The following is a 23,808-nucleotide window of genomic DNA, read 5'->3' on the forward strand; positions in this document are numbered from 1 at the left end:
GTGCAGTGGTGTGATCTTGGTTCACTGCAACCTCTGCCTCCCGGATTCAAGCAATAGTCCTGCCTCAGCCTCCCACACAGCTGAGATTATAGGTGCCCGCCACCATGCCCGGCTAATTTTTTTTTTTTTTTAGATGGAGTCTCCTTCTGTCGCCCAGGCAAGAGTGCAATGGTGTGATCTTGGCTCATGGCCACCTCTGCATCCCGGGTTCAAGCGATTCTCCTGCCTCAGCCTCCCAAGTAGCTGGGATTACAGGCATATGCCACCACGCCTGGCTACTTTTTGTATTTTTTTAGTTGAGACGGGGTTTCACCATATTGGCCAGGCTAGTCTCAAACTCCTGACCTTGTGATCCGCCTGCCTTGGCCTTCCAAAGTCCTGGGATTACAGGCATGACTCATTGCGCCCTGGCTAATTTTTGCATTTTTAAGTAGAGACGGGGTGTCACCATGTTGGCCAGGCTGGTCTCAAATTCCTGACCTTCAGTGATCTGCCCATCTCAGCCTCCCAAAGTGCTGGGATTACAGGAGTGAGCCACCACGCCCAGCCCCTTCCTTTCTTTCTTTTTCCTTTTTTTAAGGCAGGGTCTCACTCAGTTACCTAGGCTGAAGTTCAGTGGTGCAATCAAGGCTCACTGCAGCCTCAATCTCCCAGGCTCAGCCTCCCAAGTAGCTGGAACTACAGGCATGTGCCAGTGGGCCTGGCTAATTTTTGTATTTTTTGTAGTGATGGGGTTTTGCCATGTTGCTCAAACTGGTCTCAAATTGCTGGCCTCAAGTGGTCCTCCCACCTCGGACTCTCAAAGTGCTGGGATTACAGACGTGAGCCACTACACCTGGCCTCATGTTGTTTCTTGTTCATCTTCCTGTTCTCAGTGCCCAGATCAGGGTTTGGCACATGGTAGACCCTTAAAACACTGAACAAATGGATGAACTAATAAATGAATCCCTTAGCCCTCAGAAGTAGTGCTGTAGGCATTCAACACATTTATTGAATTAAAAAGTGATTAAATGTGTGTTCCTAGCTTGCAACATAGTAAGCATTCAGCTGGAAGCCAGGTGTCCTTAACTTGGGGTCCTAGGATCCTAGTGGGACCATAGAATGGCTCCATGGAGGCTGCAAATCTTTGAAATTTTCTGCAAAATATTGGGCATGTGTACACTTTTGTGGACTAAGAGCTCATCACTTAGGTTAATAACCCTAAAACAGATGTACAATACTTTTGCTGAGTGAAGTCATGAATGTATCTTGAAATCTGAACCCATAATATGTGAAAGTATGTATTCACTGGAGTTCACAGCCAGGCCCTTTAATTATATACATATATAAAATTTTTTTTTTTTCAGAAAGGGTCTTGCTCTGTCACCCAGGCTGGAGTGCAGTGGCACAATTACAGCTCACTACAGCCTCAATTTCCCAGGCTTAAGTGATATTCCTGACTCAGCCTCCCTAGTAGCTGGGTCTACAGGCTCATGCAATCACACCAGCTAGTTTTTTTAAGAGGTGGGGTCTCACTATGTTGCCCAGGCCGGTCTCCTGGGCTCTAGCAATCCTCCTTCCTTGGCCTCCCAAAGTGCTGGGATTACAGGCATGATCTACCATGTCCTGCACCTTCTATTTGCAGGGCTTGTGCTATGGCACCCTGCAGGGTGTGCAGCCAGAGAGAGGGGAATCACATGTGTCTGTCTTCCAGTAACTTCATGACTCCAATAACTAACACAGCCTAGAAAGACTGGAATTACCCTGAGAGCAGAAAGGGTCAGGGCCCAGGAGCTCAGAGGAGGGAGACTAGAGGCGCTTCCCCAAAAAAGGAATGTTTAAAATGGGTTTAGGCTCCCGGGAGGCGGAGCTTGCAGTGAGCCGAGATTGTGCCACTGCACTCCAACCTGAGTGACAGAGCGAGACACTGTCTCAAAAAATAAAAATAAAAATAAAAATAAAAAATGGGTTTAGGCTCAGCACAGTGGCTCATGTCTGTTGGGAGCCCAAGACAGGAGGATTGCTTGAGCCCAGGAGGTCGAGGCTGCAGTAAACTGTAATCATGCCACTCCACTCCAGCCTAGGCTATTAATAAAGCAAAACACTGTCTCAAAAAAAAAAAATTTTTTTTTAAAAGAAAAGAAAGCGGCCGGGCATGATGGCTCACTGCTGTAATCCCAGCACTTTGGGAGGCCAAGGCAGGTGGATCACAAGGCCAAGAGTTCAAGACATCCTGGCCAACATGGTGAAACCCCGTCTCTACTAAAAACAGAAAAATTAGCCGGGCATGGTGGTGTGCACCTGTAATCTCAGCTACTCAGAAGGCTGGGGCAGGAGAATCACTTGAACCCGGGAGGCAGAAGTTGCAGTGAAGCAAGATCAGGCCATTGCATTCCAGCCTGGGCCAACAGAGCGAGACTCCACCTCAAAAGAAAAGAAAATTGGCTTAGAGCAGTAGTCCCCAACCTTTTTGGACACCAGTGACCAGGGACCGGTTTCGTGGAAGACAATTTTTCCATGGACAGGGTCGGGGGCAGGGGCGGCGGGTGGAGAGGATGGTTTGGAGATGAAACTGTTCCACTTCAGATCATTAGGCATTAGATTCTCATAAGGAGCACACAACCTAGATCCCTCACATGCATGGTTACCAATAGGGCTCGCGCTCCTGTGAGAATCTAATGCTGCTGCTGATCTGACAGGAGGCGGAGCTCAGGTGGTGATGCTCCCTTACCCACTGCTCACCTCCTGCTGTGCATCCTGGTTCCTAACAGGCCATGGACTGATACCAGTCCATGGCCTGGGGGTTGGGAACCCCTGGCTCAAAGGACAGGAGCTAGGAGCAAAGACAGAAACCCAGGCAGTGGGAAGAAATGCTGAACGTGTTCTGGGCCATGTAATGTGTACAGTTTGGCCTGAACACAAGGAATGTACTGGGCGGCGGCAGCAGCAGCAGCAGATAAGATTAGACAGTCAGAGGAGCTGGGTCTTGCTGTGTGACCTTGAGCCAGTCATGGTCCCTTCTTGTGCTTCAGCTTTTCCATCTCAGTACTGGGTTGGAAAGCCCTGTTCTGCCTATTTCTCCATTGTTGTTGTTTTGAGATGGAGTCTCACTCTGTCACCCAGGTTGGAGTGCAGTGGTGTGATCTTGGCTCACTGCAACCTCCACCTCCCGGGTTCAAGCGATTATCCTGCCTCAGCCTCCTGAGTAGCTGGGATTAATAGATGTGCACCACCATACCTGGCTAATGTTTTTATTTTTAGTAGAGATGGGGTTTCACCATGTTGGCCAGGCTGGTCTTGAACTCCTGACCTCAGCTGATCAGCCCTTCTAGGCCTCCCAAAGTGCTGGGATTACAGAAGTGAGCCACTGCACCTGGCCAGTTGTTATGTATTCAAATGAGTTTGAGGGTCTAAACCACATCAGACAAGAGGGACAGGCTGTTCTGTTTTTTAAAAAGGCCCAGATTAGACCTGAAACCCTCAGATGCTGGAGGAAGGCTTCACCTCCCCACAGTCTTTTTTTTTTTTTTAAGACAGTGTCAGCCAGGCACAGTGGCTCATGCCTGTAATCCCAGCACTTTGGGAGGCTGAGGAAGGCGGGTCAAGAGGTCAGGAGATCGAGACCATCCTGGCTAACATGGTGAAACCCCATCTCTACTGAAAATACAAAAAATTAGCTGGGCTTGGTGGTGGGCACCTGTAGTCCTAGCTACTCGGGAGGCTGAGGCAGGAGAATGGTGTGAACCTGGGAGGCGGAGCTTGCAGTGAGCCAACATCGTGCCACTGCACTCCAGCCTGGGTGACAGAGCAAGACTCTGTCTCAAAAAAAAAAAAAAAAGACTGTCTTACTCTGTTGCCCAGGCTGGAGTACAGTGGTGCGATCTCAGCTCACTGCAACTTCCGCTTCCTAGGTTCAACCAATTCCCTAACTCACCCTCCCCAGTAGTTGGGATGACAGGTGTGCACCACCACGCCTGGCTAATTTTTGTATTTTTAGTACAGAGACGGGGTTTCACCATGTTGGTCAGGCTGGTCTATGAACTCCTGATCTTGTGAGCCCGCCTCAGCCTCCCAAAGTGCTAGGATTACAGGCGTGAGCCACTGTGCCCGGCTCACCTCTATTAAAAGGACCCAAAGGAGTTAACGGACAGAAAACGTGGCAGAGGCAGAGATGGGGTGGTATGGACCAGAATTTGTAGTTTGCAGTGATTTCGCCTTCCTCTCCCTTCTTCCGTGTGGGCCCTGTGGCACCTAATGAAGCAAGGTATTGAGATCATCCCTCTGGAGCCTGGCATGGGCATCTCCCCTCTGGGCTAGAACATAGCTTAACAGATTGTCCGTGTGCCTCAACCCCTCAAAAACTGCCACTTCCAGTTCCTAACATTCTTGTTTTGTTTTGAGACGAAGTCTTGCTCTGTCACCCAGGCTGGAGTGCAGTGGTGCGATCCCAGCTCACTATGACCTCCGCCTCCCAGGTTCAAGCGATTCTTCTGCCTCAGCCTCCCAAGTAGTTGGAACTACAGGCACACGCCACCACACCCAGCTAATTTTTGTATTTTTAGTAGACATGGAGTTTCACCATATTGGCCAGGTTGGTCTTGAACTCTTGACCTCAAGTGATCCACTGCCTGGGTCTCACACAGTGCTGGGAGTACAGGCGTGAGCCGTCATGCCCGGCCCCAGCTCCTCACATTCTAAGGAAGTTGTGAGATGGCAGTTAAGAGGACTGCACTCGAGGGCAGGATTTGGGAATTCTAATGTGATGCAGTGTTATTCCTCTACCTGGACCTGTTTGCCTAGCTGTGCAACTTGTGCATGACATACTGCATTGTCTTTCAAAATGTGGTTGTTGTTTTTCTTTTTTCTTTTTTTTTTTTTTGAGACAGAGTCTCACTCTGTGGCTCAGGCTGGAGTGCAGTGGCACAATCTTGGCTCACCGCAACCTCTGCCTTCTGGGATCAAGTGATTCTCCCGCCTCAGCCTCCCAAGTAGCTGGGACTACAGGCACGGGCCACCACGCCCGGCTAATTTTTGTATTTTTAGTAGAGATGGGGTTTCACCATGTTGGCCAGGCTGGTCTCAAACTCCTCACATCAGGTGATTCGCCCACCTCAACCTCTCAAAGTGCTGGGATTGCAGGCGTGAGCCACCAAGCCTGGCCCCAAAATGTGGTCTTTAACCAGGATCACAAATGTGGTTGTTAAAAATGCACACTCCAGCCGGGCACAGTGGCTCATACCTGTAATCCCAGCACTTTGGGAGGCCGAGGTGGGCGAATCACCTGAGGTCCCGAGTTCGAGACCACCCTAGCCAACATAGTGCAATCCCGTCTCTACTAAAAATACAAAAAAAAAAAAAGTTAGCCAGGTGTGGTGGCACATGCCTGTAATCCCAGCTATTTTGGAGGCTGAGGCGGGATAATTGCTTGAACCCAGGAGGCAGAGGTTGCAGTGAGCCGAGATCGTACCATTGTATTCCAGCCTGGCCACAGAGCAAGACTCTGCCTAAAAAATAAACAAAAACAAAACAAAAGCACATTCCTGGGCCAACTCAGAAATTCTGCAGTATCTGCAGTAGAATCACAAGGTGTGCCTGGGAAGCTGAATTTCTATAAGCTGCACTGATATTCTGTTACATAGCAAGAGTTTGGGGACCTCTAGTCTTCTGGCTGTGACCATCTGATTCCTCATTCTTTCCTCCATGGCTCAGGTGTGCAGCCTGAGTGTGGGTATGACGATTGGTGGGTGCTGAATTCTCAACCCACAGACCCCTGGGAAAAATGGGTCTGGAGGAGGGACCCACAGATCCTGAATGAGCTCTCTGACCTGATGTCTAGGATGAGAGGAGGGGGCTGAAGGGCTTGCAGAGCAAAGGGGACTAAGTATTTAGAAGTGCCCTGAGTGATGCCCTGCTCCTTCTTAACATTCATTATTTGCAAATATTTGAGCACCTACTACATGCTAGGCTTATCTAGGTGCTGGAGGATACAGTAGTGAATGAAAATCTGTGCCCTGATTAAGTTTATGTTCTAGTGGGCATGGCAGGCAATAAGGAAATAAATAAATGGGCCAGGCATGGTGGCTCACATCTGTAATCCCAGCACTTTGGGAGGCAGAAGTGGGTGGATCACTCAAGCTCAGGAGTTGAAGACCAGCCTGGGCAACATAGCGAGACCCCATCTCTACAAAAAATACAAAAATTAGCTGGGTGTGGTGGCGCAAGCCTGTAGTCCCAGCTACTCGGGAGGCTGAGGCGGGAGGATTGCTTGAGGCCGGGAGATGGAGGTTGCAGTGAGCTGAGATCATGCCACTGCACTCCAGCCTGGGCAACAGAGCGAGACTCCATCTCAAAGAAAGAGAGAAATGAAATATATAGCATGTTAGTGACACGTGCTGAGGAGAAAAACAAAACAGGGAAGGGGGATAGAAACTGGTATTTGCTAAGTGCAATTTTAGATGGGGTTTTCTAGGAAGTGCTGTGACGTCATCACTTGCTTTAAAAGAGGCCAGGCGCAGTAGCTGACTCCTGTAATCCCAGCACTTTGGGAGCCCCAGGCAGGCGGATAACCTGAGGTCAGGAGTTCACGACCAGCCTGGCCAACATGGTAAAACCCCGTCTCTACAAAAATACAAAAATTAGCCAGGCATGATGGCGGGTGTCTGTAATCCCAACTACTCGGGAGGCTGAGGCAGGAGAATCGCTTGAACCCGGGAGGCGGAGGTTGCACTGAGCCGAGATTGCACTACTGCCCTCCAGCCTGGGCGACACAGCAGGACTCTGTCTCAAAAAATAAAAATAAAATAAAAATAAAAATGCTGGGCGCAGTGGCTCATGCCTGTAATCCCAGCACTTTAGGAGGCCGGGGCGGGTGGATCACCTGAGATCGGGAGTTCAAGACCAGCCTGACTAACATGGAGAAACCCCGTCTCTACTAAAAATACAAAATTAGCCAGGCATGGTGGTGCATGTCTGTAATCCCAGCCACTCAGGAGGCTGAGGCGGGAGAATCGCTTGAACCCGGGAGGCGGAGGTTGCAGTGGACCAAGATCGCGCCATTGCACTCCAGCCTGGGCAACAGAATGAGACTCCATCTCAAAAAAAAAAAAAAAAGAAAGAAAGAAAGAAAGAAAGAAAGAAAGAAAGAAAGAAAGAAAGAAAGAAAGAAAGAAAGAAAAAAACTGTTATAGACTGAGTGCCATTTTAGATGGGGTTTTCTGGGAAGTGCTGTGACATCATCGCTTGCTGTAAAAGAGGCCGGGCGCGGTGGCTGACGCCTGTACTCCCAGCGCTTTGGGAGGCCGAGGCGGGAGGATCGCTTGAGCCTAGGAGTTCGAAGTTACAATGAGCTATGATCAGGCCACTGCACTCCAGCCTGGGCAATGAGAAAGACCCTGTCTCTTAAACAACAACAAAGTCAGAAGGAGAGGCTGCCATGGCTACGGCTCCAGGTGACGTCACGGCCAGCTCCGTGACGCGCGGCCAGGGCAGCCCGCGGAGACCGAGGCTCCTCTGTGACGTCAGCAGCCGGCCGGGACACAGCGGGAGGGCAGGTGCGGCCGCGGGGCCTGCCGACTTCACGCAGGGTCCGTGGGGTCCCCGCGGCGCGCAGCGGCTGAAGGAGGCCCCAGGGCCTTGGCGACCGCAGCGGCGGCTTTAGCGTCAGTGACTAGGCAGCAGGGGGTCAGGATGCGGCGAAGCTCCCGCCCGGGCTCGGCCTCGTCCTCGCGCAAGCACACGCCCAACTTTTTCAGCGAGAACAGCTCAATGAGCATCACCTCGGAGGACAGCAAAGGGCTCCGGTCAGCGGAGCCCGGGCCTGGGGAGCCCGAGGGCAGAAGAGCCCGGGGCCCGAGCTGCGGTGAGCCCGCCTTGAGCGCGGGAGTGCCCGGAGGAACCACATGGGCAGGAAGCTCTCAGCAGAAGCCAGCGCCTCGGAGCCACAACTGGCAGACAGCCTGTGGCGCGGCAACCGTGAGGGGCGGGGCCTCGGGTGCGGGCGGGGTCGACCCCGGGTGAGCCAGTGGAGGGGGCGGGGCCTAAAGGGCGGTGCTGGGCGGGGACGGGGCTAAGATGATATCTGGGCACCTCCTACAAGGTGGGTCCTGTAGGGTAAAGGGATGGTGCTAAATGAGATCCCTTAAGGGGCGGAGCCTCGGTGTCCTGGACGGTTATGGGAAGGGGCGGGGAAAATCTTGTGGTTGGGTGCCACTGAGGGGGCGCGGCCTCAATGTTAGCGTGAGTGGCTCCCAGGACAATTGGGTTCCACCAAGATCTAAGGCTGGGGGCGGGTCATCCGTTTGGGGGAGGGACCAACTCTTTTTTTTTTTTTTTTGCAACGGAGTTTCGCTCCTGTTGCCCATGCCATGCAATGGCATGATCTCGGCTCACCGCAACCTCCGCCTCCCGGGTTCAAACGATTCTCCCGCCTCAGCCTCCCGAGTAGCTGGGATTACAGGCGTGCGCCACCATGCCCGGCCAATTTTTGTGTTTTTAGTAGAGACGGGGTTTCTCCGTGTTAATCAGGCTGGCCTCGAACTCCCGACCTCAGGTGATCCGCCCGCCTCGGCCTCCCAAATCGCTGGGATTACAGGCGTGAGCCACCGCGCCCGGCCAGGAGACCAACTCTTGACGGAGCCTCCCTGAGGGGCGGGGCTTCAGAGGGCGGAGCTGGAGCCGGGATAGGGCTGCGGTGGGACCAAAGCCTGTGAGAGACTTCCCAGCTGTCTGGCTTGTGGACTGAGCAATCTGCGGCCCGGTCTCGAGGGGAAAATAGGTCTGTGGTCCGCAAGGCCCCAGTGGAGCCCTTGGGTTCCCGCAGAACCGACTGGGTCTCCAGTAGTCTCTGAGGAGCCGCTCGACCTTCTCCCGACCCTGGATCTGAGGCAGGAGATGCCTCCCCCGCGGGTGTTCAAGAGCTTTCTGAGTACGGGCCAGGCCAGCTGCGATCCCCTCTGACCCTCGGGTTCCCCTCTCCGAACTCCAGTTCTCTCTGAGCCCCCGGCCCCCGTTTGAGTATCGAGCCCCTCTCCGAGCCTCAACTCATTCCTAGCCCCCATCCAATTATCCTAGCCGACCCTCTCTTCCTGAGCCCCAGGCCCACCCCCGGCCCCTCCCAAGCCCCTTCTGAACCCGGACACCACGCAGGCTGAGCCCCGCCTCTCCCTGCCGTGGGCCCCTCTCTGACCCTCTGTCCTGGCCTCAGGCCTGCTCTTCCAGGGGCTGAGCGTGTTGTTATCCCTGGCAGGAGACGTGCTGGTCAGCATGTACAGGTCAGAGGAAGGGACGCTGGCGCCCCAGGAACAGCTCTTTGGAGGGGGTGGGGAGCAGGGCCGGAACCTTGCTGGCGCTTGAGCCGATTCAGATCTGATTGAGTCATGTTGGCAAGAGCTGGGTCTAGGACCCTGGGGTGGGGACTGGAGGGTTGAGCAGGTCGGGGCCTCAGCCTCCCTCCGGTTCCCCAGGGAGGTCTGTTCCATCCGCTTCCTGTTCACGGCTGTGTCGCTGCTGAGCCTCTTTCTGTCAGGTGAGGGGCAGTGAATTCCCTGGAGCCCCTGCCCTGGGTGCTTTGGAGGCAAACCCAGCACATTTTCTCCTACATCCTCGGTCCTGCAGCTCCTGGCATTCCCCTGCAGAACCCCCTAATTCCCCCTCAGACTCCCACGGTCCTCCCCAGGCTTAACCCCCTCAAGCCTCTTTCCACTGTCCCCCTATGCCGGGGAAACCCATTCTCTTCCTTTTCCTTCTGAGACCCCTCCCTCTCTTTCTCCAGCATTCTGGCTGGGGCTTCTGTACCTGGTCTCTCCTTTGGAGAATGTGAGTTGGGGAGACTGTCTTGGGGTAGGGGGTTGGCAGGTTGTGAACCCGGAGATTGTGGGGGTCCCCTGGACTGTCGGTCTGCTGGGGTGGGGGTAGTGCCAGAGGCTACAATCCTTAAGAAAGGGCTGGATATAAACAGACTTATGAGGGATTGTGCTTGAGGGTCTCTTGGGGGCTCTGATACTGGGAGGTCAAGGAGGAGTCGAGGAAAGGGGACACAGTCTTCAAAAAGGAAGCCCTGGCCGTTTCCAGGCTGAGGTAGGAGCAAGGACGACGGGAGCTGAGCGGCTCTGTGTTTTGTCCCTTCATCCAACAGGAACCTAAGGAGATGCTGACTCTAAGGTGAAAGAGGGCACCTAGGGTGGGAAATTGGGGGGCTCAAAGTTGCTTCTTTGAGAACCTTGAAGGCGTGGGGGCCTTTGGGAGGTGTCCAGGGGGACAGGGAGCCAACCCCACGGCGCCCACCTCCCACCTCCAGTGAGTACCACGAGCGCGTGCGCTCCCAGGGGCAGCAGCTGCAGCAGCTCCAGGCCGAGCTGGATAAACTCCACAAGGAGGTGTCCACTGTTCGGGCAGCCAACAGCGAGGTGAGCCCCGGCCCACCTTGGAAACCCCTGATGGATCCCTGCTCCCAGGGTCCTGAGACTTAAGCTCCGCCCAGAGCCCTGCGGGATTTCTCCCGGTGCCCACGAAGTCCATCCCAAAGCAACCAGCTCCCAGAGGTCCCGTCCACCTGTAAAAGCAGCCCGCAAGCCTCGCCCCTCCAGGCCTCGCCCTCCCTCCTTGCAGAGAGTGGCCAAGCTCGTGTTCCAGAGGCTGAATGAGGATTTTGTGCGGAAGCCCGACTATGCTTTGAGCTCTGTGGGTAAGACCCGGAGACACTGGAAGACAGAGACGCAGACAGGAAAGAGGCCAAGACACTGACACAGACAGACCCATGCACCTGACCGGCCGAAGACAGAGCCTCGGACAGCCCCCACCCGCCCCCAGCCCCCGCGCCCCCGCGCCCCGACTCCCGGCAAGGCCTGGGAGCCTCTGAGGGTTACTTCTCACTGTTCCAGGAGCCTCCATCGACCTGCAGAAGACATCCCACGATTACGCAGACAGGAACACTGCCTACTTCTGGAATCGCTTCAGCTTCTGGAACTACGCACGGCCGCCCACGGTTATCCTGGAGGTGAGTCTGGAAACATCCCGGGATGGGACCCCGGGCGGGACGCTGGGAAAAGCACCAAAACCCCGCCCTACAGGCGGAGCTTGGCTGAGCCGAGGGCGTGGAGGATGGCGTTTAACTCAAGGAGAGACCTGGCATTGCTGGGGACTGGGGCGGGCTGGAGGTGGAGCTCTGGGCGGGTCGATGGATGGGGTCGAGCTGAGGCCCGGGCTGGGGAGCGGCAGCAGTCGCTCTGTCCGACGGTTCCGATGGTCCCTCCGCCCGCCTGCAGCCCCACGTGTTCCCTGGGAATTGCTGGGCTTTTGAAGGCGACCAAGGCCAGGTGGTGATCCAACTGCCGGGCCGAGTGCAGCTGAGCGACATCACTCTGCAGCATCCACCGCCCAGCGTGGAGCACACCGGAGGAGCCAACAGCGCCCCCCGCGATTTCGCGGTCTTTGTGAGTGCGGACGAGGTCAGGAGGTGGGGGATTTTGCCTAGAGAGCCCAAGCAGTCTTGAGAACTGGTGCCGTTATCTGAGTCTTCGCTTGCTCATCTATAAAATGAAGATACTACTATTTGCCTCTCAGAGCTGCTGTAGGTTATAGTCATAACCATATCCAGATATTAGTTATTGCTTGCAAAGCACTTACTCCGTGCCAAGCAGTTTACAGGCATTCTTATTTTGCTGTTGTTTTTGAGACAGTCTCGCTCTTGTCACCCAGGCTGCTGGAGTGCAGTGGTGCCATCTCAGCTCACCTGCAACCTCAGCCTCTAGGATTCAAGCGATTCTTGTGCCTCATCCTCCCGAGTAGCTGGAATTACAGGCGTGCGCCACCATGCTCGGCTAATTTTTGTATTTTTAGTAGAGATGGGGTTTCACCATGTTGGCCAGGATGGTCTCAAACTCCTGACCTCAAGTGATCCGCCTTCCTCGGCCTTCTGAAATGCTAGGATTACAGGCATGAGCCACCGTGCCTGCTTTGCACCCACATAACAACCTATGATGTACTGTTATCTCCCCCTTTAAAGATGAAGAAAGTAATGCTCAGAGAGGGGAAGTTATTTTTCCAAGGTAATACAACTAACAGTTGGCAGGATTAAATTTAAAACCTGGTTTCTTCCCGGGAGGTGGAGCTTGCAGTGAGCCAAGATCTCACCACTGCACTCCAGCCTGGGTGACAGAGCAACACTCCGTCTCAAAATAAATAAATAAATAAAACCTGGTTTCTTAGAGCCCACATTCTGAATTACAGTGTACGACCATCAAAAAATACATGAGAACATGCATATAGCTATTGAATACACAGAAGATCCTCAGCAAAGTTTTCTTCTCCCCGCCCCCCCCGCCCCACCTGTCCCCCTCATAGTTCCTCCTTTCATTCTTCACCCACCAGGGCCTCCAGGTTTATGATGAAACTGAAGTTTCCTTGGGGAAATTCACCTTCGATGTTGAGAAATCGGAGATTCAGACTTTCCACCTGCAGGTGTGTTTGTCTCTAGGGTGAAGGTGCCAAGGGAGTGGGGCAGTGAGGGATGAATGATCCAGGAGGAGGGCAGCCCTTGGCATGATCCATTTGTCTCCCCAGAATGACCCCCCAGCTGCCTTTCCCAAGGTGAAGATCCAGATTCTAAGCAACTGGGGCCACCCCCGTTTCACGTGCTTGTATCGAGTCCGTGCCCACGGTGTGCGAACCTCAGAGGGGGCAGAGGGCAGTGCACAGGGGCCCCATTAAACATGCTGATTTTTGGAGTAGAATTGAGTTCTGCTGAAGGATACTGGATCAGTGCTTTCGGGGGCTCTGTTGGGAGAGCTCTGGCTGCCGTTGCATCTAAGTATGGAGGGGCTGACTTCCCAATGCACCCTCTTTTCTTGGAGAAGTCTTGATCAAGATCGTAATAGCAGCTCCTGTTTATGGAGTGCCTACCACGTACAAGAAACAGTGCTGTGGACATTACACACATTACCTAACTTCATTCTCACAACCAGAAAGGGAAGCTGCTCAGGTCAGGAAACTTGTTCAATGTCACACAGCTAGTGAAAGGCAGTGACAGAGCAGTACCCAGGCCCACCTTCCTCCAGAGCCAGTCCTCTAACTGCAGAGCTGCAGGCAGCCTGAACCCACCTTTGTGCTCAATTCCCAGCCCCAGTGGGAAAGTCCCCAACTCCTGCTAGGTACCGGTGGAGGGGTAGCTACCCACCTTCTGCAGGCACACACTCAAAAGCTAAGGAGACTTGATAACCTCTAGGAAGCTTCTGAGTCACAGAGCTGATGCAGGCCTGGTAGCCCCTACATAGGTTGTCTTACTGAGACCTGAGTTCCCAACTCTGTGTGAGGCACAGCATAGATGATTTAGTGTTCACCAGTCCCTGCCCTCAAGGAGCCTGACAGGGGAAAGAAGAGACTCCAGGAAACAGGACAATGCATTTACAGATCCAAGAATTCTTCACTCTAAGGGTCGAAAGTGGAATTGCAGGGAAAAAAGATGGAGGAGAAGGCAACAAAGGATTAATGAGTTCTACCTAGGGGTAGGAAAGGAGGACCAGCATGAGCAAAGCAACACGCACAACATGCACCATCTTGGAGGGCAATGTGCAGTATCTGGTAAAATTTTAAATATACCCTTTGATCTAGCACTTCCACTTTTAGGAACAAATTCTTCAGAAACATTCCTGTTAAGTGCACAAAGATACATGTACAAAGATGTTCATTATAGCATTGTTTGAAAAAAACTGGGATTCAAATCTCCATGAATAAGAGACGGGTACGCTCCTACAAAAAAATAAGATGTAGGCATTAACACCTTCCCAATGTGCTCATGCTTTAGAAGAATATACAGACTATTAATAGTGTTTATACTTTTAAGAAGTGAAATTCGGCCTGGTATGGTGTCTCATGCCTGTAGTCCCAGCACTTTGGGAGGCTGAGGAGGGTGGATCATGAGGTCAGGAGATCAAGACCATCCTGGCCAACATGGATACAAAAATTAGCTGGGCGTTGTGGCATGTGCCTGTAGTCCCAGTTACTTGGGAGACTGAGGCAGGAAATCACTTGAATCGGGAGGCAGAGGTTGCAGTGGGCCAAGATCGTGCCACTGCACTCCAGTCTGGCGACAGAGTGAGACTCCATCTCAAATAAAATAAATAAATAAATAAATAATCTGGGGGATTTTTTTATAATTTGAAGATGAAAAAGACCCCACTGAGTGCTCTCAAGGCCTATTTTTATTTATCAAAGCCTAAGTTTAGAATTATGAACTAATGCAGCTTTTCTGGAGGGCAGTTTCACAACAGGAACCAAAAGCCTTACAACTTTTTGTACTCTTTACTCACAGCAATTCCATTTCTAAGAATGTATCCATAGAATACATAGATGTATTCAAAGGTAATATTTATAAGGAAATTTAACAGTGTTGTTTATAAATTGGAAACTTAGTAACCAAGTAGATAAACTGTTATAAAAAATAAGCAGCCAATAGAAATGGTAATATAAGAGAATGTCTGAAGCCACTGAAAGTAATGATATATAGGCCAGGCATGGTGGCTCACGCCTGTAATCCCAGCACTTTGGGAGGCCGAGGTGGGCGGATCACCTGAGGTTGAGAGTTTGAGACCAGTCTGGCCAACATTGTGAAACCCCATCTCTACTAAAAAAATACAAAAAAATTAGCCGGGCGTGGTGGCAGGCACCTGTAGTCCCAGCTACTCAGGAGGCTGAGGCAGGAGAATTGCTTGAACCCGGGAGGTGGAGCTTGCAGTGAGCCCAGATCGCGCCACTGCACTCCAGCCTGGGCGACAGAGCTAGACTCCATCTCAAAAAACAAAACAAAACAAAACAAAACAAAAATTAGCTGGGCATACTGGTGCGCGCCTGTAATCCCAGCTACTAGGGAGGCTGAGGCAGGAGAATCGCTTGAACCTGGGAGGCAGAGGTTGCAGTGAGCTGAGATCGCACCACTGCACTCTAGCCTGGGCAACAGAGCAAGACTCTATCTAAATGGTAATAATAATAAATGATATATGGATAACTTTTTAAAAAGCAAGTTAAACTGGCATAAATAATATGTCCATATTAAAAGAATTCTATATGCCAAAGGACACTATAAATAAAAAGACAACCTGGGAAGAAATATTTTCAACATGTATGAGATGAAGGGGCTAATAACCTTAACAAAATAAAAGCTATAACACATACATGCAGACTATGAATAGGCTATTGAGAAGAACTATAATTTACAAATAACCATATAAGATACCGATCCTTCATATTTAAATAAATTCGAGCTGGGTGTGGTGGCTCACGCCTGTAATTCCAGCACTTTGGGAGGCCGAGGTGAGCAGATCACGAGGTCAGGAGTTTGAGACCAGCCTGACCAATATGGTGAAACCCCGTCTCTACTAAAAATACAAAAATCAGCCGGGCGTGCTGGCGCATGCCTGCAATCCCAGCTACTCAGGAGGCTGAGGCAGGAGAATCACTTGAACCTGGGAGGCGGAGGTTGCAGTGAGCTGAGATGGTGCCACTGCACTCCAGCCTGGGCAACAGAGTGAGACTCCATCAAAAAAATAAAAATAAAATAAAAAATAAAATAAATTCAAACTAAAAATGATTTTTTGCTTCTTTTTTTACCTGTCAGATTAACAAAAGGTGTAACTTTGACCATAATTTTTGTTATGAAGAATAATTTGCAATATCTATTAAAATTTAAAATATAACCTTTGATATAGCATTTCCACTTTTAGGAATAAATGTTTCTTCAGAACAAATGTTTCTTCAGAAACATTCCAGTTAAGTGCACAGACATATATGTACAAGGATGTTCATTACAGCATTGAAAGAAACTAAGACTCAAATCTCCATAAATAAGAGATGAGCTAAATAAGGTACACTCCTACAAAAAAAAAAAAAAAAATGATGGCCAGGTGCAGTGGCTTATGCCTGTAATCCCAGCACTTTGGGAGGCCAAGGTGGGCAGATCACCTGAGGTCTCGAGTTCAAGACCAGCCAACATGGTGAAACCCCATCTCTACTAAAAATACAAAAATTAGCCAGGCATGGTGGTGCGTGCCTGTAGTCCCAGTTACTTGGGAGGTGAAGCAGGAGAATCGCTTGAACCCAGAAGGCAGAAGTTGCAGTGAGCTGAGATCACGCCATTGCACTCCAGCCTGGGCAATACAGAGCGACTACGTCTCAAAAAAAAAAAAAAAAAAAAAAAGGAATGAAGCAATAGGTTCTGATAGGTAAGACACCAAAATGTATTAAATAAAAAGGTCCAAGTAGTACGTATAAATAGCCCATTGATAAAAATCTATTTTTCAGATCTAGGAAAAACAGGGGCCCTTACCTGCTCCACTATTTGTACAATGTGTTTTTGTTTTTTTTTTTTGAGAGGGAGTCTCGCTTTGTCACCCAGGCAGGAGTGCAGTGGCGCCATCTCAGCTCACTGAAAGCTCCGCCTCCTGGGTTCCCGCCATTCTCCTGCCTCAGCCTCCCCAGTAGCTGGGACCACAGGCGCCCGCCACCACGCCTGGCTAATTTTTTACATTTTTTAGTAGAGACGGGGTTTCACCCTGTTAGCCAGGATGGTCTCAATCTCCTGACCTTGTGATCCGCCTGCCTCGGCCTCCCAAAGTGCTGGGATTACAGGTGTGAGCCACTGCACCTGGCCTATTTGTACAATATTTATATTTGAAATAACTTCATACTAACAAGCACGTATTTTAAAATTAGAAAAAACAAATTTTAACACATGCTAAAACAGTATGTGTAGACAAAAAGTTATGTGCCCAATATGTTTTATCAGGACATGGGAGTTTGAGTGATATTTTTTCTGCACTTAAAATTTTTTTCTTTTCTGAGACAGAGTCTCGCTCTGTAGCTCAGGCTGGGGTGCAGTGGTGCAATACCAGCTCTCTGCATCCTCCGCTTCCTGGGTTCAAGCGATTCTCCTGCCTCAGCCTCCTGAGTAGTTGGAATCATAGGCACCCACCACCACACCAAGCTAATTTCTGTATTTTTAGTAGAGATGGGGTTTCATCATGTTGGCCAGGCTGGTCTTGAACTCCTGACCTCAAATGATCTGCCCTCTTCAGCCTCCCAAAGTGCTGGGATTACAGGCATGAGCCACCACGCCCAGCCAGAATTTTTCTACAATGAATACATGTATTCTCTATTAAGAAAAAATTAGCTGTTAAAAAAATTCAGGATTTTCACTTGTCTTTAGGACCAAAATTACCACTACTCCCTCCCCTCCAGGAAGTCTAACATAGCCTTTGCTCCACCTTAAAACTCATCCATCCTTCTCCTTTTGCTGCTTTTTATGAAGTCTGACACTTTCCATCTTTGTATTCCCAGCCCAGCTCTGCCCTGAGGGAGGGAAGGCGAAGGCTGGGTGTTTAGCTTACTTTCAAACTTTGTATTTCCTTTTCTTGTGTGTGTAATGGGGTCTTGCTATGTTGCCCAGACCTGCTCTGGAACTCCTGAGCTCAAGCAGTCCTCCCACCTCAGCCTCCCAAGCTGAGGACTACAGGTACATGATACCCACCCCTGGCTGTATTTTCAAAAACAGTGAGTCAGTGTCTCTAGAATGAATAGATATCTGCCCAGAAATACTCAACTTTGAGTGGGGCTTTACACCAGAGACATCCTTCACGTAACAACCCCTAAGTAAACAAACTAAGGTGTGGAGAGGGGATGTAAACATTGCTCATAGCAGCCTCCTACCTAAAAACACACAAGAGAGTGGTGGCAAAGCATTGGTCTTCACTGGTCTTTATTGAATGAGGGTTGTCAGGAGCAAAGGTGGGATCAAGAGCAGCAAAAGCAGAAACAAGTATAAAAGTATCAAAAAATACAAAGTGCTAGCACTGAGGAGAGTGAGAAGGGTTGGGTTGTGGCCCAGAGGGACCTCTGGGACACAGGATTGAGGACTTGCCACAGCCTCCAAGGGAACCTAGGCCTGGGGGGCCTGTGCAGGATCCTTGGCTGAGGGTGGAAGTGGCTTGAGCGGGGCCCAACCCTGGGCCCTGAAGTATGAGACCAGTTGTGTGGGCACTTCTGCGAGCACGGTCTGTGCCAATGCCTCCCGAGGGGCCTGCCAAGAAAAGGGAAAAGTCAGTGGTGGCCCAGAACAGCTGCCCAAAGTCTGTATTTCATGCTCAAGAACCCAACCATATCCCAGGCTTAGAGGAAAAGGTGAGCATCCCTTGGGCCTCAACCCTACTCACATCAGGGAAAGGTGAAAGGGTAAACTCCCAGATCAAATTTGCACCTACTCACATTCTGGAACCGGCGGTAGGGTACAAACTGCACAATGTCGCGGGCAGCAGCCTGCCCAGAACGTGTATGCAGGGGTCCACCATCAGCGTCCAGCTGCTCCATGGCCTCAAAGTCAGCACCACCCACACCCACAATGATCACTGACATGGGCAGGTTCGAGGCACGCACCACAGCCTCACGTGTGGCTTCCACATCCGTCACAGCACCATCAGTCAGCAGCAACAGCATGAAGTATTGCTGGGGACAAGCCCATTCATGTCCTGAAGCAGATCCTCCTCCTAAACCCCTGCAAACACCCCAGCCACACATCCCCACACTCATAAGAAGTCCCTTGTTACAGGCCGGGTGCGATGGCTCACACCTGTAATCCCAGCACTTTGGGAGGCTAAGGCAGGCGGATCACTTGAGGTCAGGAGTTTGTGACCACCCCAGCCAACATGGTGAAAGCCCGTCTCTACTAAAAATATAAAAATTAGCTGGGCATGGTGGCACACGCCTGTAATCCAAGCTACTAGGAAGGCTGAGGCAGGAGAATCACTTGAACCCAGGAGGTGCAGGTTGCAGTGAGCTGAGATCGCGTCACTGCACTCCAGCCTGGGTGACAGAGCAAGAGTCCATCTCAAAAAAAAAAAAAAAAAAAAAAGTCCTTTGTTCCATAACCCTCAAGGAAGCCCTTGATTGCCACCACTGCCACTGCCACCCACGACTCTCACCGAGGCAGTCCCCTGATGTGCAGCCTGGGCTGCAAACCTGGCCACATGGTTGATGATGGGTGCAAAGTTGGTAGGGCCATAGAGGCGAACTTGGGGCAGGGCTTGGCGGTAGGCATCCACAATGCCCTGGATGCCTGCAGAGGAGAGCAAGAAATACCGTAAAATCCTGGACCTCTCAGGACTACACCAGTCCTGAAATCACCCCATCCCAGCCCAGGAGATCTCGGAACCTGGGTGCATTTCATTCATTCACCCTTGTAAACCAGGGTACTTAACTGTCTCCTACACATGAGGAAACTAAGGTTCAAAGAGAGGAGGGGACTTGCCCTAAATCACAGCTTGAATTAGCACCCAGATGAGAGGGATTCTCCTGGACAAATCCAGGAGAGTTTGAGCATCAGATTATAACCTATTTAATAATGATCCATTTGATACAATAAGGATCCGTACTATGGATTAATTACTGAGGGAGAAGGGAAAGCTCCTAATAAATGTAAAAGGAAGAATTACACAATCATTTGACAATCACAGAAATGACTGATTCAGGCAAGGATCATCAATGGATGTTAAAACTAGAGAGTATAGCCAGGCACAGTGGCATGTGCCTGTAGTCCCAGCTACTCACGAGGCTGAGGTGGGAGGACTGCTTGAGCCCAGGGGTTCAAGGCCAGCTTAGGCAACATAGTGAGACCCCCGTCACTTAAAAAATAAAAAAACTAAGGCCGGGCGCAGTGGCTCAGGCCTGTAATCCCAGCACTTTGGGAGGCTGAGGCGGGCGGATCACAAGGTCAGGAGATTGAGACCATCCCAGCTAACACAGTGAAACCCCGTCTCTACTAAAAATACAAAAAAAAAACTAGCCGGGCGTGGTGGTGGGCGCCTGTAGTCCCAGCTACTCGGGAGGCTGAGGCAGGAGAATGGCGTGAACCCAGGAGGTGGAGCTTGCAGTGAGCCAAGATCGCGCCACCGCATTCCAGCCTGGGTGACAGAGCAAGACTCCATCTCAAAAAATAAAAAATAAAAAATAAATTAAAAAAAAAAAAACTAGAGGGGAATGTTGATGTGTGTGTGATGAGTATTTGTATAGTCTCTTCCCAGAATATACTTACTAAATAGAAAGGAGAAAATAGTACTTGTATAGTGGAGAAACCTGGTAGATCTTACCTTAACTAAGTGACCAAAGTCAACATGACTGGTAATAGGACAAATCAACATCATGTTCCTCTGAATATGATGCACTGAGAATATACAGCATCACTTTGGTGGTATTCCTGCCAAAAATGTACAACCTGAATCTAATCCTGAGGATTTATCAGGTAAACCCAAACTGAGGGACATTCTAGAAAATATCTGGCCTATACTGTTTATATCATGAAATGTGAATGTCATGAAAGGCAAGAAGTCTTCCATATAAAAAGATATGTGCTAACTGAACGCAATGTGTGATCTGAGATTTTCTTTTGCTGTAAAAGACATTAGGACAATTGGCAACATCTGAATAAATGCTATAGGCTGGATAATAGCATAGATGTTCATTTCCTGATTTTGAGGATTGGTCTGTGATAATGTAAGAAAGAGTCTTTGATTTTAGGAGATACTGAAGTACTCAGAGGTAAAAAGCCAGGTGGATAATGATGGGTACAAAGCTGGTAGGGCCATAGAAGCAAACCTGAGGCAGGGCTATTCACTACAGCATTCTCCAACACACGTATACATGTGTGTACATACATAAACACATATTTTTAATCTTTTTTCCCTTGAAATGTGTGAATGTGTGTGTATATGTATACATGTGTACACACACACACACATATACACACACATACACACTGTATACATGTATGAGAAAAGAGAAAACAAATGTGGTAAAATGTTATGTTAGGGTAATTGGGATAAAGGTGAAGAGCCCCTGTGAACTCAGGCCCTGACCCCTGAGTTCCAAGGGACTGAGCTCCTATGACTATTCTTGCAACTTTTCTCTAAGTCTGAACTTATGTTGAAATACAAAATTAAAATTTTAAAACCCAGATCAGATCAGGTCAGGTCAGATTTTCCACTTCAGCTTGTGCCCCCTTGGGGGTACTGGGGAGTCAAAAGGTTTGGCCCTAAACAAAAGGGCTTGGTGGACTCTGGCAAAATGCACCCTGCAAGGAGGCAAACAAGGCTTCCACTGATGCTCAAGTAAGTACCTGTTAGCTTCTAGGCAAAGATAATAACGATAATATAACAGATACCATTTTTCGGAGAACACTTAGTAAGTACCAGGCTTACTGCTTTACTTGTATCCTCTCCTTGAGTACTCAATTTCCTATGTTTAGTCTTATGAAACCAAAGCACACAGAGATTAAGCAACCTGCCCCAAGTCATGTGGCATCATTTTTTTTTTTTTTTGAGATAGGTTCTCACTCTATCACCCAGGCTGGAGTATAGTGGCATGATCATGATCATGGCTCACCACAACCTCAACCTCCTGGGCTCAGGTGATCCTCCCACCTCAGCCTCCTGAGTAGCTAGAACTACAGGCGCCTGCCATCATGCTCGGCTAATTTTTGTAATTTTAGTAGAGATGGGGTTTTGCCATGTTTCCCAAGCTAGTCTCAAATTCCTGGGCTCAAGCGATCCACCCACCTTGGCCTCGCAACTGAGTGCTAGGATTACGGGCGTGAGCCACCACTCCTGGCCTGGCATGACGATTTGATTCCAGAGGCCTAGCTCTAAAATCCACCCTCTGGGTCAGGCGCTGTGGCTCAATACCTGTAATCCCAGCACTTTGGGAGGCCAAGGCAGGTCAATCACCTGAGGTCAGGAATTCGAGACCACCCTGGCCAACATGGCAAAACCCCGTCTCTACTAAACATACAAAAATTAGCCAGGCACGGTGGCAAGCGACTGTAGTCCCAGCTACTTGGGAGGCTGAGGCAGAAGAATTGCTCGAACCCAGTAGGCAGAGGTTGCAAGTGAGCTAAGATTGCGCCACCGCACTCCAGCCTGGGTGACAGAGCAAGACTCTTTCTCAAAAAATAAATTAAACTAAAATTAAATAAAATCCACCCTCTGGACAATGAAGGCAGGTATCTGCCCCCACTCTCCCTTTTACTCATGCAGGCTTGCCCCTCTTTGTGTGGACAGACCTGCCTCAGGGTGGATGGGGAAACTTACCTGCACAGTAGGGGTTACTGGGGTTGAAATTCAAGGCAAATTCATGCGAGACCTGGAGACAAGAATGAAAATGAGGTTCTTTCCCCATGACCTCTGCTAAGAATGAAAAAGGACACTGGCGTGTGCCAAGATTCCTATAGGAGCTATGGAGTCCTGAGCACTTGCTGTCTACGTGCCTGCAGGAATCCAACCCTGCATCTCCTCTTAAAGCTGAGTGCCAAGTAGCAAGTAAATTTACCACATCCCCCAAAATCAGGACCCTGAAACTGAAAACAGGAGTGGCAGAAAGAGAGGGAGCTCACCTGCCAGTCAGGGGGAACCTGGGCCCCAAATCCAAATGCAGGGAACAGCTTGTCTCTGTGGGAGGACAGTGTATTGGGCAAAAGGCAGTGAGGGGACTGTAAGCTCAGAGGCTGAAGCATCTGCAGGGAGCGGGTATAGCCCAGAGAAGCAGGTACTCACGAGTCATAGTCCTGAACCACGCTGCCCACACTCCACAGTGCCATCAGGTACTCATTGACCCCTGTTGGACTCAGGTAGTGTAGGGAGTCAGGTGAGGAGGGGTCTCCATTGGAGCCAGTGAAGTCCACGCCCACCTGGGAGGAGGTGAGGAAGGCAGCTAAAGGCCACCCTGAGCCCCAGACCTGTTCTCTTGCCCTTGGTAAAGTAACTTACAGTGAAGTTGATCTGACAGCCTCCCATCACATAGTCCAGAAAGGAGTACTCTGTTTCTACCTGCAAATGAAACCAGGGTCATGCCTGGGGTGATAGCAGTTGGTGTCATGGAGCTCAGGAATCAGAGCCTTGGTTACATGGGCTTTTGTCTCACCCGACAAATCTTGACACGGATAGTTCCAGAGTTCTTGTAGCTTTTCTTTTTCTGCTGCTTCTCAGGGTGGATGCATTCAAACTCAGCCTGGTGAGGACAGAAAAATTAGGGTAGGAAATTCTCAGAGCATCAGTCAAGGACTCGAGCTGCCTTCTCCTTCCTCTCTCCCACAAGCTTCAGCTATCTAGGCCCATTTCCACACCCCTGGCAAGACCAGCACTCACCGGGACTGCCTGCAGCTGGGCCAAGCTGGTGTGGAAGGTACCGATGAGATCATGTGACCCGTCACTGTCATAATCGGAGCATTGCACCTGAGGGAAAGGTGTGTGTGGACATAAACAAGCCAGGTGGCAGATGAGAATAAGTCCCTCCCCAGGTTCTCTTCTCCAGCGCAGTCCACTTAGGGGGCAAGCTCCTCACCTGGATGGGTGTGCTGGGGTTCCCACCACAGAAATGCTGAACGGGGACTGAGAAACGCTTCCATGTAGGGTTCAGGTTGTTCTTGATGACCTGAAGGTGGAGGCCAAGGCCTCCAGTGAGCTCTGGCATGGCCCCCTGAGGAGCTGCCACACTTCTCTACCCACCTGCAGTCTCTTTCTGAGTTCCAAACCTTGCTAGTCACAGGCCCCAGGAGATTATCTCCTACCCCAGCCCACCCAATCCCAGGGGTCTCATACCTCAGATCTGTACACCAGGTGCCATTTCCCATCACCCTGGCGGAAGAACTCCAGAAATGGATCTGATTTTCCCAGGAAGTCCTGCCAATGCGAGACCCCAGTTACAAGACTCAGGAACAAACAACCATTATGCCATCCCTCTGTCCACACCCCCATCCCCCATACACCATCCTTGGCCCCTTAACTCTTGGATTACCAGGGC

General features: G+C 50.4%; 2 protein-coding genes across 11 annotated transcripts in view, besides 6 other annotated features; one reads left to right on the top strand and one right to left on the bottom strand.

Moving 5' to 3' along the window:
* SPAG4 (sperm associated antigen 4) lies at positions 7,491–12,756 on the top strand. Of its 4 annotated transcripts, none has more exons than NM_003116.3 (12): positions 7,491–7,969; positions 8,798–8,902; positions 9,182–9,248; positions 9,441–9,502; positions 9,749–9,792; positions 10,112–10,137; positions 10,274–10,382; positions 10,585–10,660; positions 10,857–10,972; positions 11,241–11,408; positions 12,346–12,435; positions 12,538–12,756. In NM_003116.3, exons 1-12 carry the CDS (start codon positions 7,666–7,668, stop codon positions 12,682–12,684), a joined length of 1,314 nt encoding a protein of 437 aa, NP_003107.1. In that variant the 5' UTR covers positions 7,491–7,665; the 3' UTR covers positions 12,685–12,756. The 4 variants fall into 4 exon arrangements, with proteins under 4 accessions (NP_003107.1, NP_001304860.1, XP_011527311.1 ...); NM_001317931.1 differs by having other exon boundaries at positions 7,546–7,950; XM_011529009.3 differs by having other exon boundaries at positions 7,629–7,837.
* Positions 7,537–8,266: a silencer, noted in NCBI's record as "silent region_12861". NCBI's record gives its function as "represses an Ori minimal core promoter by ATAC-STARR-seq in GM12878 lymphoblastoid cells {active_cell/tissue: GM12878}" and the evidence as "EXISTENCE:reporter gene assay evidence [ECO:0000049][PMID:35858748]".
* Positions 8,697–8,966: an enhancer, noted in NCBI's record as "active region_17787". NCBI's record gives its function as "activates an Ori minimal core promoter by ATAC-STARR-seq in GM12878 lymphoblastoid cells {active_cell/tissue: GM12878}" and the evidence as "EXISTENCE:reporter gene assay evidence [ECO:0000049][PMID:35858748]".
* Positions 8,997–9,947: an enhancer, noted in NCBI's record as "H3K4me1 hESC enhancer chr20:34205257-34206207 (GRCh37/hg19 assembly coordinates)". NCBI's record gives its function as "activates a minimal SCP1, AML or CMV promoter by ChIP-STARR-seq in naive H9 embryonic stem cells {active_cell/tissue: H9 hESC(naive)}" and the evidence as "EXISTENCE:reporter gene assay evidence [ECO:0000049][PMID:30033119]".
* Positions 9,177–9,226: an enhancer, noted in NCBI's record as "active region_17788". NCBI's record gives its function as "activates an Ori minimal core promoter by ATAC-STARR-seq in GM12878 lymphoblastoid cells {active_cell/tissue: GM12878}" and the evidence as "EXISTENCE:reporter gene assay evidence [ECO:0000049][PMID:35858748]".
* Positions 9,948–10,897: an enhancer, noted in NCBI's record as "H3K4me1 hESC enhancer chr20:34206208-34207157 (GRCh37/hg19 assembly coordinates)". NCBI's record gives its function as "activates a minimal SCP1, AML or CMV promoter by ChIP-STARR-seq in naive H9 embryonic stem cells {active_cell/tissue: H9 hESC(naive)}" and the evidence as "EXISTENCE:reporter gene assay evidence [ECO:0000049][PMID:30033119]".
* Positions 11,005–11,234: an enhancer, noted in NCBI's record as "active region_17789". NCBI's record gives its function as "activates an Ori minimal core promoter by ATAC-STARR-seq in GM12878 lymphoblastoid cells {active_cell/tissue: GM12878}" and the evidence as "EXISTENCE:reporter gene assay evidence [ECO:0000049][PMID:35858748]".
* A 4,949-nt stretch (positions 12,757–17,705) lies between the features above and the next one.
* The window catches only part of CPNE1 (copine 1), a 38,857-nt gene continuing 32,754 nt past the window's right edge, over positions 17,706–23,808 (bottom strand). For 6 of the 7 annotated variants that reach the window (NR_037188.2, NM_152926.3, NM_152925.3 and 3 more), the window contains 11 exons: positions 23,607–23,687; positions 23,350–23,439; positions 23,154–23,240; positions 22,930–23,016; positions 22,776–22,835; positions 22,563–22,696; positions 22,403–22,457; positions 22,101–22,152; positions 18,942–19,075; positions 18,229–18,465; positions 17,706–18,043 (listed from right to left, as the gene is read on the bottom strand). Coding sequence is in view for 6 of the 7 variants with exons in the window: in NM_152926.3 (NP_690903.1) it covers positions 17,903–18,043; positions 18,229–18,465; positions 18,942–19,075; positions 22,101–22,152; positions 22,403–22,457; positions 22,563–22,696; positions 22,776–22,835; positions 22,930–23,016; positions 23,154–23,240; positions 23,350–23,439; positions 23,607–23,687 (1,158 nt within the window). In the remaining variant the exon portion in view is untranslated. The remainder of the gene's footprint in view (positions 18,044–18,228; positions 18,466–18,941; positions 19,076–22,100; positions 22,153–22,402; positions 22,458–22,562; positions 22,697–22,775; positions 22,836–22,929; positions 23,017–23,153; positions 23,241–23,349; positions 23,440–23,606; positions 23,688–23,808) is intronic. The other variant, NM_001198863.2, reaches the window with a different exon arrangement.

This window comes from Homo sapiens, chromosome 20, assembly GCF_000001405.40.
Source record: "Homo sapiens chromosome 20, GRCh38.p14 Primary Assembly".
NCBI classification, from domain to species: domain Eukaryota; kingdom Metazoa; phylum Chordata; class Mammalia; order Primates; family Hominidae; genus Homo; species Homo sapiens.